Source organism: Homo sapiens, chromosome 7 (genome assembly GCF_000001405.40).
Source record: "Homo sapiens chromosome 7, GRCh38.p14 Primary Assembly".
Taxonomy (NCBI): Eukaryota; Metazoa; Chordata; class Mammalia; order Primates; family Hominidae; genus Homo; species Homo sapiens.
Genome location: NC_000007.14, coordinates 64,122,221 through 64,137,573, shown reverse-complemented (window position 1 = coordinate 64,137,573; position 15,353 = coordinate 64,122,221).

Genomic DNA, 15,353 nt, shown 5'->3' with positions numbered 1-15,353 from the left:
GGTCTGAGAAATAAAGAGACAGAGTACAAAAGAGAGAAATTTTAAGGCTGGGTGTCCAGGGGAGACATCACATGTCAGCAGGTTCCATGATGGCCCCTGAGCCATAAAACCAGCAAGTTTTTATTAGTGATTTTCAAAAGGGGAGGGAGTGTACGAATAGGTGTGGGTCACAGAGATCACATGCTTCACAAGGTAATATCACAAGGTAAATGGAGGCAGGGCGAGATCACAGGACCACAGGACTGGGGCGAAATTAAAATTGCTAATGAAGTTTCGGGCATGCATTGTCATTGATAACTTCTTATCAGGAGACAGGGTTTGAGAGCAGACAACTGGTCTGACCAAAATTTATTAGGCGGGAATTTCCTCATACTAATAAGCCTGGGAGCGCTACGGGAGACCAGGGCTTATTTCATCCCACAGCTATGACTATAAAAGACAGCTGCCCCCAAAGCGGCCATTTCAGAGGCTGACCCTCAGGGATGCATTCTCTTTCTCAGGGATGTTCCCTGCTGAGAAAAGAATTCAGCGATATTTCTCCTATTTGCTTTTGAAAGAAGAGAAATATGGCTCTGTTCCCCCCGGCTCACCGGCAGCCAGAGTTTAAGGTTATCTCCCTTGTTCCCTGAACACTGCTGTTATCCTGTTCTTTTTTTAAGGTGCCCAGATTTCATACTGTTCAAACACACATGCTCTACAAACAATTTGTGCAGTTAACGCAATCATCACAGGGTCCTGAGGTGGCATACATCCTCCTCAGCTTATGAAGATGATGGGATTAAGAGATTAAAGACAGGCATAGGAAATCACAAGGGTATTGATTGGGGAAGTGATAAGTGTCCATGAAATCTTCACAATTTATGTTCAGAGACTGCAGTAAAGACAGGCATAAGAAATTATAAAAGTATTAATTTGGGGAACTAATAAACGTCCGTGAAATCTTCACAATTTATGTTCTTCTCCCATGGCTTCAGCCGGTCCCTCCATTCAGGGTCCCTGACTTCCCGCAACACTCAAGGAGAGACAGATGTCCACCCTGCAGACTCAGGACCTACTTAGGGGAACTCGATTGCAAATGAGAGAAACTCATTGTGAACTAGTGTAGGCAAAGGAAGAAATTCATTGGTCCATGGGGTTCAAGGAACAGTTGTACAAATGGTAACAGCCCTGCAAGATTCATCTTACCCACTGTCCAGAAATCCTAATGCGCTGAAAACAGCAAAGAAAGAGTTTAATTTCTGCAAGGCAGCCAAGCAGAGTGATGGGAGATGTTTCTCAGATCTGCCTCCCTGAAAGCTCAGCGGCTAGGATTTTTAAGGATAATTTGGTAAGCAAGGGGCTAGGGAATGGAAACTGCTGATTGGCTGGGGATGAAATCATAGGAGTCCAATCAAACTGTCTTCACACACTCATCAATTTCTGGGTGGGGGTTTCTGGTGGGAGTCAGTTCCTGGGTGTGAATCACAGGTCCCGGTGAAGTCAGTCAGTCTTCAGAATGCAAAAGTCTGAAAAACATCTCAAAGACTAATCTAAGGGCCAAGCGCACTGGCTCACACCTGTAATCCCAACATTTTTGGAGGCCAAGGCAGTGGATCACTTGAGGCCAGGAGTTCGAGACCAGCTTGGCCAATATGGTGAAACCCCACTCTACTAAAAATACAAAAATTAGGGTATGATGGCATGTGCCTGCAGTCCCAGCTACTTGTGAGGCTGAGGCAGGAGAATCATTTCAGCCCAGGAGGCGGAGGTTGCATAAGCCAAGATGGTGCCAATGCATTCCAGCCTGCCCAACAGAGCAAGACTCTGTCTCAAAAAAAAAAAAAAGACTAATCTTAGGTTTTGACAGAGTGATGCTATCTATGGGAGCAACTGGGGAAGTTACAAGCCTTGTGTCTCTGATTAAAAAGACTTGAGCAATACAGGGCTTATAGAAAATCAAACTAAATAACAATGGCTGATTAACGTTAACTATGCCTACATTTTAGCAGAATTCTGGCCCCTTCCATTATCCTAACCTTGCAGCCTTTCATTAGTTTTACAAAGGTGGTTTCAGTCCCCCAGCAAGGAGGGGGTTAGTTTCGGGAAGGGGCTGTTATCACTTCTGTTTTAAAGCTAACAAAGACAGTCAGATTTCTCTCACTGTCATAATTATTGCAAAGGCAGTTTCAGAAACAGCCTTGAAATAGGCAGGATGGAAATGGACCTCCAAATCCTCCAGAACCAGAGACCAGGCTTCCCCTATCTTGCCATTGCTTTTCTCTGCATTTTTACTTCCCCCAGGCTCCCAGCTGCCTGGATTTCCACACGTGGTTAAAATATAGATGCCAACAGCTCCCCAAACATCAAAGTTTTAGTTACTATTAAAGAACTACAGTCAAGTGGTACCATAGTTCCAATGTGGTGGTAAAGGCATCATGCATTCAAGTATTTCAGGGAAGGAAATCATAACCTTGTTTGGGTGAAGTGCTCAGCCCTAGATGAATAAGCTGTAGCATGAGAGAGAGGAGAGGGATGAATAATGTCATAAATGAACATGGCAGCTCCATTAGGGATGGGAGAGGGTAGTTATTGCCCAAGAGGAAATTCTGATAGAGCTCCACTGCAAGGCCCAGTCTCTGCTTCCCTTGCATGGTTGTCATCCTCCAACCCTTAGATAGGGCCAAGCACTTGCTGCCTTGGTGTGTTAGTCTGTTCTCATGCTGCTAATAAAGACATACCTGAAACTGAGTAATTTATAAAGGAAAGAGGTTTAATGGGCTCACACATCCACACGGCTGAGGAGACCTCACGATCATGGCAGAAGGCAAAGGAGAAGCAAAGGCACATCTTACATGGCAGGAGGCAAGAAAGCATATGGAGAGGAACTCCCCTTTATAAAACCATCAGATCTCATGAGAATTACTCATTATCGTGAGAACAGTATGGAAAAACCTGTCCCCATGATTACTTCCACTGAGTCCCTCCCATGACACATGGAAATGATGGGAGCTACAATTCATGATGAAATTTGGGTAGGGGCACAGTCAAACCATATCACTTGATGTCCCTTACAAGCCAGAGAGGCAGTATCTTGAGTGTTTGTGTGTCCTGAGTGTAAACAGCTATAACTACCATGGATAAAAAGATAAGAACAAAAGACATTCTTCAACAAAAATGTCCCTATAAAACCATCCCAATTGTCCCCTAGAAATGATGTTTATAGTTTCTTTTTAATAAAGATAAAAATTGGCCCTCCCAGTCTTAAAACTCAAGAAAGTTACGTTTGTCTTATCTGAGTTCCTTTCTCAGGAAACCAACCATCAGCCCTCCCAGATAGAATCAAGTAGCTGAAACTCACGAGACCATCACATCTGGATAGTGAGATGCCACACCTCTCATCCATCATAATTGCCTAAGCAATTACCTGCTTTCTGTTGACCAACTTCTCTTCCTTTCCTCTCCCTAATTCCTGCTTTCCACATGATTACATTTCTTCTCTGCTGTATAAACCTCTAATTTTAGTTGGTCAGGGAGATGGATTTGTGGCTGATCTTCCATCTCCTTGACTGCAGCACTCAAATAAAGCCTTCTTCCTTGGCACTACTCATTGTCTCAGTGATTGGCTTTCTGTGCAGTGTACAGCAGAACCTAGACTGAACCCAACATGTCGGTAACACCTCGCTGTAATGTAAACTAACTTTACATAGAGAAGAGAAAGGCACCTTGGGAGTGGCTGAGCTTAGGTGTTTGTGAGAAGCTAATCTCATGGTTCAGGGCATGACTTCCACCCATTTCAAATGTACAAAGTCTAGCTTCTTGGGAAATGCTTGAGTTTCTCAGGCTGACACTGTGTGTTTGGTCATGGCATACGTACATGTCTCCTTAACACACATAGGTGCCCAAACACATGTAGTTTTTTATGGAAAGAACTTTATTTTTTTTCTACCTGAACATCTCAATGGAAAGAGCTTTGGATTAAGGAGTTCAAGATCTCATTCCACCCCTGTCTCTGCATGGGTGAGTTCAGACACATCTCTTTCTTTCACCCACTCAATGAGTTAGCCTCAAACAGGGACATTTGGAAATGCATGAGGAGGCACTGAATTGCTCCTATAACTTTAGGGAAGGGAAAAGGAGCGCTAAGGACATTGAATGGGTCAAGGATGCCAGTTGTGCAGCAACAGGAATGGGGGATTTTCTTGCCCCCATTGATAATTGTGCCCAGATTGAGAAACACCACCTGATGGCCCCTAAGGTGTCTCCATGCTGGAGAAAACAAGGCCAATGCTTCTATGACTTTCTCAAAGTTCAGAGCAGAGGAGCCTTCCACTAGGAGAGGGCAGAGTATCCAACAGGCCCATGGCATCTCAAGAGGACAAGTCTCTAGAGTAATCTTATTGGGGTCCTCCCAACTGTGCCCTTCAGTGCCAGCCCCTCAGATGTACTCAGATCTGGCTTCTGCAGAGAGCTGCCGATTTCAAGCCAACCCTCACCTCAACTGGCTCCCTCTCTGTTCTTCTCTGTCTTAATAAGGACTGCAGATCCCATGGAACACGTGTTTCCTTTGACATTCCCTAATTATGTGAATTTTATAAATTTAGTTTCTATAAAAATCTGTGTTGTTACTGCTGAAATGAGAACGGCAAGAAGTTCTGGATAGTGCCCCAAGGGGCGGATGCAGGTTCCAGTCCATTTGACTTTTCACTACAGTACTGTAAAGGCCTTTCTCTCTCCCCATCATAATATATTAGGTGTTTTGTTTTGCTTTGTTTTTCTTGTTTATTTTTATTTTTTTGGAAACAGGGTCTTGCTTGGTCACCCAGGCTGGAGTGAAGTAGTGCTATCATGGCTCATTACAGCCTTGAGCTCCTGGGCTCAAGCGATCCTCCCACCTCAGCCTCCCAAAGTGCTCAGTTTACAGATGTGAGCCACCGGGCCCAAACTGTTAAGTTTAAGGTAAGGCTGTGGTGCAGAGATGGTGAGGATATTTGATTGTCTGTGTTGACATTAAACTATTAGAGGTTGATGCTAGGAGTACAGTGTTGAGCAGACCACATGACAATATTCAGGCTTGGCAGGATAACATTCTCTGCCTGATTAATGTGACATTTCATGGAACAAATGGAAAGTGTTTACCATTCCTGCTCTAGGTGATCAATTCTCTCCAGTCTTGAAAGCCATGTCCAGGTGGAATCTGGTTTAGATGTAGTCTGAAGCAAAAGGAAAGTCAGGAAAAAAAAAAGGTAGGAGAGCCAGTCAACGTAGCCCATGCCTGTAATCCCAGCACTTTGGGAGGCCAAGGTAGGCAGATCACTTGAGCTCAGGAGTTCGAGACCAGCCTGGGCAACACAGGAAGACCCTCATTTCTACCAAAAATAAAAATTAGCTGGCCATGGTGGTACACACTTGTGGTTCCAGCTCCTCAGGGGCTGAGGCAGGAGGACTGCTTGAGCCAGAGAGGTAGAGGCTACAGTGAGCCAAGATCATACCATTGCACTTCAGCCTAAGTGACAGACGATACCTTTCTCAAAAAAACAAACAAACAAAAAAACAGTAGGAAAAGGGTGAAGGATAGATTGCCCAAGTAGAGTACAGGGTGTTCTCATCAACTGACAAGACTCCTCCTCTCCTGCAAATGGCCCAACCACAGACCACTCCAAGGCCACCCTGGAGCCTCCAGATGCTGCCCGTCTTGGCACAACCCTGCCTTCAAAGCAAGCAGGTTGTCCAGCATTGCCTGGGTGGGCTGTCTCAGTAGAGGTTCTTATTGGCAAAACCCCACTTAGTTCAGGTATAAAAGGCAGCCTGAGGCCAAGGCAGGTAGATCACCTGAGGTCAGGAGTTCGAGACCTGTCTGGCCAACATGGTAAAACCCCATCTCTACTAAAAATACAAAAATTAGCCGGGTGTGGTGGCATGGATCTGTAATCCCAGCTACTCAGGAGGCTGAGACAGGAAAATCACTTGAACCCGGGAAGCGGAGGTTGCCATGAGCCAAGATCGCGCCACTGCACTCCAGCCTGGGTAACAGAGTGAGACTCCATGTCAAAAGAAAAGGCAGCCTGAGAATCACCACGAGGGCTCACAGAAGCAAGGCTAGAGGCTCCTAGGCCAAACGCCCATGCCATATTGAATTCCAGAACCCCTTTCACAGCACAAAAAGTCCTCCCCCATAGTGGCGTGTGGGACCTCAATCCTCAGCCCTGTTCAGCTGCCCCTGAATGCTGGACACCCTTTCTCGCCCTCACCAGGAATCAATTCTGCAAAGAACCCTCTTCCTCATGTCACTGCCTGCTAAATTGTTCTCAGCTATTCACATTGGATCTGTGTCACTGTGCCCTAGTTACAAGGATGCCTGGAAACGAGTTCTTGGCTTTCGTCTTGAAGAGGCAAGTCCCAAAAGCTTGGAAATTTTTGAACATAGAAAAGGGATTCAAAAAATGCCAAAGCAGCCCAAGAAATACATCTGCTGCAGAGATTCATCCAGATTCTGAGGAGGTCACTGGGGCAGGTGTTTTCTTACATGAGGCCGGGCACAATTACAGACACTCTTTGACTTACAAAGGAGTTACGTCTGGATAAATCCATCACAAACCAAAAATATCCTACTTTGAAAGTGCATTCAGTACGCCAGACCTACCAAACATAACTTAGCCTAGCCTGCCTTAGCCTAGCATTCTGCCTAGCTCAGAATGCTTATATTAGCCTACAGTAAAATCATCTAACACCAGGCCTATTTTATAATAAAGTTACTATAAATCATTTTGAATCAAAATTCAAAGTATGGCTTGTATTAAATAAATATCACATTTGCACAATCCTAAAGTCGAAAAATTGTAAGTTGAACTATCTTAAGTAAAACCATTGTAAGTTAAACAATCATAAATGGAACTATCTTAAGTCAGCAACAACAGAAGAAGTGGTCAAGTGGGTTCCTGTCCACTTAATTCAGCAATGGCATATCCAACACCCATGGCCACTTCAAAAAGACTAGTTTCAGACAAGCACGTTGGCTCATGCCTGTAATCCCAGCACTTTGGGAGGCCAAGCCGGGCGGATCACCTGAGGTCAGGGGTTTGAGACCAGCCTGGCCAACATGGTGAAACCCCGTCTCTACTAAAAATACAAAAAAAAAAAAATTAGCCAGGTGTGGTGGGTGCCTGTAATCCCAACTACTTGGGAGGCTGAGGCAGGAGAATCACTTGGACCAGGGAGGCAGAAGTTGCAGTGAGCTGAGATCATGCCATTGAACTCTAGCCTGGGTGACAGAGCCAGACCTCGTCTAAAAAGATTAAATTAAAAAAAAAAAAAACTAGTTTCCAGTGTCTTTTCTTCTTTCCCACTGGTCCCAGGGATTTTATGTACTTCTGCTTCCTTTCAAAGGCAGCCTCTATCTACTCGATAAAGGTAAGCTACAAAATGGAACATGGACTCTTCAGGTCACCCCTTCCCACCAACAGCTCTTATCTGCAAGTGGTGCACACCATCCGTCTTCTTCTTTTGTTTTAACTGAGGTGAAATCTATGTAACAGAAAATGACTCAATTTAAAGTGTACAATGGACACATGCACAGATGTTTACTGCAGCACTGTTGACAATAGCAAAGACTTGGAACCAACCCAAACACCCATCAATGATAGACTGGATAAGGAAAATGTGGCATATATACACCATGGAATACCATGCAGCCATTAAAAAGGACAAGTTCATGTCCTTTGCAGGAACATGGATGAAGCTGGAAACCATCATTCTCAGCAAACTATCACAAGAACAGAAAACCAAACACCATATGTTCTCACTCATAAGTGGGAGTTGAACAATGAGAACACATGGACACAGGGAGGGTAATATCACACAATGGGGCCTGTCGGGGGCTAGGGAAGGGATAGCATTAAGAAAAATACCCAATGTAGATGATGGTTTGATGGGTGCAGCAAACCACCATGGCACGTGTATACTGATGTAACAAACCTACATGTTCTGCACATGTATCCCAGAACTTATAAGTATAATAAAAAAATAAAATGTACAATGCAGGGGCCTTTAGTACATTCAGAGAGTTGTGCAACCGTCCTTGCCAGCTGGTTACAGAACATCTGCATCACTTTCAAAGGAGACCCTGTACCCATTAAGCAGTCATATCTCATTCCCTCCTTCTCCCAGTCCCTGGCCACCATCGGTCTGCTTTCTGTCCCTGTGGATCTATGAATTCTGGATACTTCATATAAATAGTCTCACACAGAATGTGGCCTTTCGCATTGGCTTCTAGCACTTCATGTACGTTTTTGAGGTTCATTCATGTTGAAGCAGTTGTTTTTTTTTTTTTCCTGAGATGGAGTCTTGCTCTGTTGTCCAGGCTGGAGTGCAGTGGCACGATCTCGGCTCACTGCAAAATCCTCTTCCTGGGTTCAAGCAATTCTCCTGCCTTAGCCTCCTGAGGAGCTGGGACTACAGGTGCCCGCCACGATGCCCAGTTAAATTTTGTATTTTTAGTAGAGACGGGGTTTCACTGTGCTAGCCAGGATAGTCTCGATCTCCTGACCTCATGATCTGCCTGCCTCAGACTCCCAAAGTGCTGGGATTACAGGCGTGAGCCACTGCACCCGGCCGCAGCAGTCATTTTTATTTTGACTTATTATATTAATTTGCTCAGACTGCCATAACAGGACTACAGACTGGATGGCTTGAACAACAAAAATGTATGATCTCACAGTTCTGAAGACCAGAAGTCCAGGATCAAGGTGTCAGCAGGGTTGGGTCCTTCTGAGACTTCTCTCTTTGGCTTGTAGAAGGCCATCTTTTCCCTGTGTCTCTTCTCAACATCTTCACACTATGTGCGTGTGTCCAAATTTCACTTTGGCACAGGGACACCAGTCACACTGGATTAGGGGTTACCCAACTGACGTCATTTTAACTTGATAACCTCAGGAAAGAGACTATCTCCAAAAAGGTCACATTCTGAAATATTAGTGGTTAGGACTTTAACAGATAAATTTGTTTGCGGGGAGGGGCACAATTACACATAGCACATATCATTTCACTAAAGATTACAGGAAATAAACAGGGGCTCTCAAAATATTGCTGGCACAAAGAAGCCTGGTAGATGTTCATCCTCTAATTGCTTAAACTTGCACTGAGTTGTTACCAGAAGTCCAAATATTTCTTCTTTTTTTTTTTTTTTTTTTGAGACAGGGTCCTGCTCTGTCATCCAGGCTGGGAATGCAGTGGTACAATCACAGTGGCACAATCACAGCCTCCACCTCCCCAGGCTCAAGTAATCCTCCCACCTTAGCCTCCCAAGGAGCTGGGACCACAGGAGTACACCACCATACCCACATGATTTTGTTTATTTATTTTAGAGCTGGGGGGGGAGGGGTCTCACTATGTTGCCCAGGCTGGTCTCGAACTCCTGGACTCAAAGGATCTTCCTGCCTCAGCCTCCCAAAGCACTAGGATTACAGGCATGAGCCAGCATGCCTGGTCAGCTTCTGTGTTCTTGGAGTCCATCACCTATCTCCTTCCTGTGGTCCCTTTTCAGATCACACAGTTCTCCTTCTCTTGGAAAGCCTCATTCCCAGAAATTTCCTGATGAGACTCTTCCGACTCCTGTGTGCAACTTCCCTGCATACCAACAACCCCCTCAACTATTACGTCTCCCCAGAGAAGGTCAAAGTTTAGGCATATGGAAGGGTCCCAAGGCTGAAGGGCTGCAGTGGACATCCTGGTCCAGTGGGGGCTCTGAAGGTCCCTGACATGCAGAGGTGTTTTATTTGTATGCAAGGGAATTGCACGTAAGAGTTAGAAGAGTCTCATGAGGAAAGAGTTGGAAGAGCTTTTCTCTCTCCCAATCCTCAGGCACCTGATCTCCCACTGAGTCATAATGCAGGGTAACAAGTTCCATCAAATTAGTTAGTCCTTGCCTCTGGGAGGACCTTTCAAGAGAACTGTTCCCAGGTAAAATATTGCCAAGAAACATGGTTAACATAAGGGATCCTGAGACCAGGAGGGAGGCAGAGTATCTCATCCCAGCGGCTGAGAGTCCCCTGTGTAGTTTAGTGTGCTTTATCTCATCACAAATTTCTTTCCTTTTTCTTTCTCTTCTGCAAACACTCGGACTTTGACTGGTCCCTTCACTCCCTACTGAATGAAGGCTGGGAACAGTGGCTCCTGCTTATAATCCCTGGACTTTGGGAGGCCAAGGTGGGAGGATTGCTTGAGCCCAGGAGTTGGAAGCTGCTGTGAGCTATGATCACACCACTGCACTCCAGGCTTGGCAACAGAGCGAGACACTGTCTCAAAAAAAAAAAAAAAAATCAAAACAGATCTACCAAATGAGAAGAGGGCACAGCACAGGGAAAGAAACAACATCCCTTTTTTGTAAGGCATAACTCGATATGTGATGAGTGGTAAGCCATATGCAGCTGTCTGGGCCTCAGTCTACCCATCTGCCAAATGGGACTAATTCTACCCATTCCACATTTCTCAATCACAGTCACTCAAAACGCAAAAGGCAATGCAGAAATCACCCAAAACACAAAAAGCAATGCAGAAATAAAGATTTGCTTTCCCATTTCCCCAATTCATAGACTCTTAGATCTTATTCATCAGCCTCCTAATCTGTTGGTTTTTCAGAGACATAGATATTATTCAACTTTTTTTTTTTTTTTTTTGAGACGGAGCCTCACTCTGTTGCCCAGGCTAGAATGCAGCGGCGTGATCTCAGCTCACTGCAACCTCCACCTCCCAGGTTCAAGCAATTCTCCTGCCTCAGCCTCCCGAGTAGCTGGGGACTACAGGTGCTCACCACTAAGCCCGGAAAATTTTTGTATTTTTAGTAGAGATGGGGTTTCACCATGTTGGCCAGGCTGGTCTCAAACTCCTGACCTCAGGTGATCCTCCTGCCTAGGCCTCCCAAAGTGTTGAGATTACAGGTGTGAGACGACACACCCAGCCGGTCATTCAACATTTTTCTGATATCCTTGTTTTTAGCTATTGTGTTTTGCTGAATCAAAGCAAATTTGGTAAACATTTGTAAATCAAAGAAAATTCCTGAGGTGTGTCTCAGTCATTTTTAGAGGTCATTTCGCCAATGTTGAGGACGCAATGGGAGGGAAAAGGGAATAAAAACCACAGGAAACATTTGTAATAGATGCTTTTCTTCCAAAGAGGGTCTTGGAGACTTAAATATTTGAAGGGAAAAAGAGGCCGGGCTTGGTGGCTAACGCCTGTAATCCCAGCATTTTAGGAAGCCAAGGCAGGCAGATCACCTGAGGTCAGGAGTTTGAGACCAGCCTGACCAACACGGTGAAACCCCATCTCTACTAAAAACATAAAAATTAGTTGGGCATGGTGGGGCGTGCCTGTAATCCCAGCTAGTCGGGAGGCTGAGGCAGGAGAATTGCTTGAACCCAGGAGGCAGAGGTTGCAGTGAGCCGAGATTGCACCACTCCACTCCAGCCTGGGCAACAGAGCAAGACTTGGTCTTAAATAAATAAACAAATAAATAAAGGGAAAAAGAGTGGGCAGTAGGGGAAGGTAAAAAAAAAAAAAAAAAAGCAGGGAGGGAAAGCAAATTGAAGAGACAAGCAATTGTGTTCCTTTGAGTCTTTGATCAGCATTTACAGAATTCACATTTTACATGTGGAAAGGAAAGGGTGGAAGAATATTCAATTATGCATTCATCTTGCACTCAGTGAATCTGCATTTTTACATAAGGTAAATAAACACAAAGTACAGGAAGCAGTCAGATATGCTTTTGTCTCCGGGGCACAGAGGGATGACTTTTAGTTCTGTCCTTTGTCCCTTACCTGTGAAGACAAGTTTTTCATTTATGTTTTCAGGGTGAAATTCAACAGAACTCTTTTGGCTGGGCATGGTGGCTCATGCCTTTAATCCCAGCACTTTAGGAGGCTGAGGTAGGTGGATTGCATGAGGCCAGGAGTTGGAGACCAGCCTGGCCAACATGGTGAAACCCTGTCTCTACTACAAATACAAAAATTAGCCGGGTATGGTAGTGCACACCTGTAATCCTAGCTACTCAGGAGGCTGAGGCAGGAGAATTGCTTGAACCAGGAGGCAGAGGTTGCAGTGAGCCAAGATCACACCACTGCACTCAAGCCTGGGCAACAGAGCAAGACCCTGTCTCGAAAACAAAAACAAAAACAAAAAACCTGAACTGTTTTAGATGAAATCCAAGAAATTCAACAGAACTGTTTGTTTTCCTTTAGCATATTCAATGTCAGTAACTCATCTTTCTGGGTTTGAGATACTGAATGAGCATCATCAGTCTGGCCTCATCCAAACCCTGGTAGATTTCTCCCCCAAGAAATTTTGATGTCAAGACCATACCCTCTTCCCTGAATAATGACAGTGAAAGGAAAAGAAATCTCAGGACCACCAACTCACTAAGTGAAAGGCAAAAGTCAAGCTGGAAACTGGATCATACAAACCTGCCTCTCCCATTCTGTTCCTAAATAGATAGCTACAAAGATTTTTTTTTTAAAAGCTACACACCTCCCTCAAAATTTACCCACAAGGAAATTCCTTATGGGCCTCAAGATTTTGACCTTAGAATAGTTCTGTTGCATTTCACCCTGAAAATGTAAATTGATAGCTTATGCTTGCAGGACAAAGGATAGACCCCAAGGTCATCCCTCTGCTCACCTGAGACAAATGCATATCTGACTCTTTCCTCTGCCCCATGTTTACTTTTTTTTCATTAAAAAAAAAGAGACAGGGTCTCGCTATGTTGCCCAGGCTGGTCTTGAACTCCTGACCTCAACCGATCTGCCCACCTCAGCCTCCCAAAGTGCTGGGATTACAAGCATGAGCCACCGAGCCCAGCCGCTGTCTTGAGTTTCATGGAGACTTCAAGACACAGGCATGATTTGGTTTTTAGTTTGCTTTTTGTTTTGTTTTGGTTTTGAGACAGGGGTCTATGCCACCCAGGCTGGCATGCAGTGGTGCAATCATAGCTTGCTACAGCCTTGATCTCCTGGACTCAAGTGATCTTCCCACCTCCGCCTCCTGAGTAGCTGGACCACAGGCATGCGCTACCATGCCTGGCCAATTTTTTTATTTGTAGAGATGAATTCTCACTATGTTGCCCAAGCTGGTCTCAAATTCCTGGCCTCAAGCGATCTTCCTGCCTTGGCCTCCCAAAGTGCTGGGATTTCAGGCATGTACCACCCGCGATGGCAACATAGGCATGGCTGATTAAATCAGTGGCCACTGGTGATCAACTCAAACCTTCAGCTCCTCTCCATCCCTGGAAATCTGGGGGCAGGGGGCTGAAAGTTCCTACCCCCTAATCACGAGGTTGGTTCCCCTGGCAACTACTTTTCATTTTGAGACTATTCAGGAGTCACCAGAAATCAGTCGTCTCATTAGCATCCACAAAGACACTTACTACTTCGGAGATTCCAAGGGTTTCAGGAGCTGTGCACCAGGAAACAGTGGCAGAGACAATATATGTGTGTTTGTGTATATATGTGTGTGTATTTTTTTGTGTGCTTTTTTCTTTTACACTGTAGCTCTCAGATCTTACAAATATATATTTTTTATTATTTCATGTCTGTATTATAAAAGGAAAATAAAATCTTAGGACTTCAGACTCACTACAACCTCCACCTCTTGGGTTCAAGCGATTCTCCTGCCTCAGCTTCCAGAGTAGCTGGAATTACAGGCATGTGCCACCATGCCCAGCTAATTTTTTATTTTTAGTAGAGACAGGGTTTCTCCATGTTGGCCAGGCTGGTCTTCAGTTCTCCACCTCAGATGATCTGCCCGCCTCAGCCTCCCAAAGTGCTGGGATACCAGGCGTGAGCCACCACGCTTGGCCCAATGTTTTATGAACAAACATTTAAACTGTAATTCTGCTTTGTACCAGAATTCATCAGAAACAATCCTTTTAGCTCTGTGATTTTATTTTCTTTTCAAAATTAGCTGAACATTATAGCAAAACTAAAAGTTACAATTTTCTCCCGCCTTCCCTGAAGAAAAGCCCAGAGAGATTTTGTTTTGTTTTTTTGGGGGGAGTTTTTGAGACAGAGTTTCACTCTTGCTGCCCAGGCTGGAATGCAGTAGCTAGATCTCGGCTCACTGCGACCTCTGCCTTGTGGGATCAAGCGATTCTCCTTCCTCAGCCTGCCGAGTAGATGGAATTACAGGCACCTGCCACCATATCTGCCTAATTTTTGTATTTTTTGTAGAGGTGGGGTTTTACCATCTTGGCCAGGCTGGTTTTGAACTTCTGACCTCGTGATCCACCTGCCTCAGCCTCCCAAAGTGCTGGGATTACAGGCGTTAGCCCCCGTGCCGGGCCATCTCTTTTTCATTAATGGAAACATGTCCTAAGTACCTCATACCGTTACTTATTAAAAACATATTTTCTTTGCATACTTTTCATACAGTCGTTTCCTTTCACCCTTATTATATTTAGTAGGTCAATTATGTACATTGTTTAGAATTCTTAACACTTCCTAACTTTAACTTCCAGTGAAAATGAGGTTGTAGGGAATTGTGGACTACTTGTCATTTAACAGCATTCTCTAGTAGATTAGCATACTTATTAATACACCTTTTTTTTTTTTTCAGATGGAGTGTCACCCAATATATTACCCAGGCTGGACGGAGTGTAATGGCACAATCTTGGCTCACTGCCACCTCCGCCTTCCAGGTTCAAGTGATTCTCCTGCCTCAGCCTCCCGAGTGGCTGGGATTACAGATGTGCACCAACACGTCTGGCTAATTTTTGTATTTTTAGTAGAGATGGGGTTTTCACCACGTTGGCCAGGCTGGTCTTGAACTCCTGACCTCGTGATCCGCCCACCTCAGCCTCCCAAAGTGCTGGGATTACAGGCATGAGCCACCGCACCCAGCCTTAATATACCATTTTATGATTTTTTTCTTAGACAGGGTCTCATTCTGTCAGCCAGGCTGGAATACAGTGACATAATAACTCTTAATAAAGCCTCAAACTCTGGGGCTCAATAGATCCTCCTGCCTCACCCTTCAGAGTAGCTGGGGCTACAGGCATGCACCAGAACGCCCTGCTAATTTTTGTATTTTTCATAGAGACGAAGTTTCACCATGTTGGCCAGGCTGGTCTCAAACTCCTGACCTCAGGCTATCCACCGACCTTGGCCTCCCAGAGTGCTGGGATTACAGGCGTGAGCCACCGTGCCCGGCCTCATTTTCTTTTACTTCACTTGATTGTGCTTCACAGATATTGCATTTCTTAACATAGTTTTGTTTTATTTAAACATATAAATAATAGTTAAAACTACTGAGATGGGGTCTCGCTATGTTGACCAGGCTGGTCTTGAACTCCTGCCCTCAAGCAATCCTCCCATCTCAGCCTCCCAAAGTTCTGG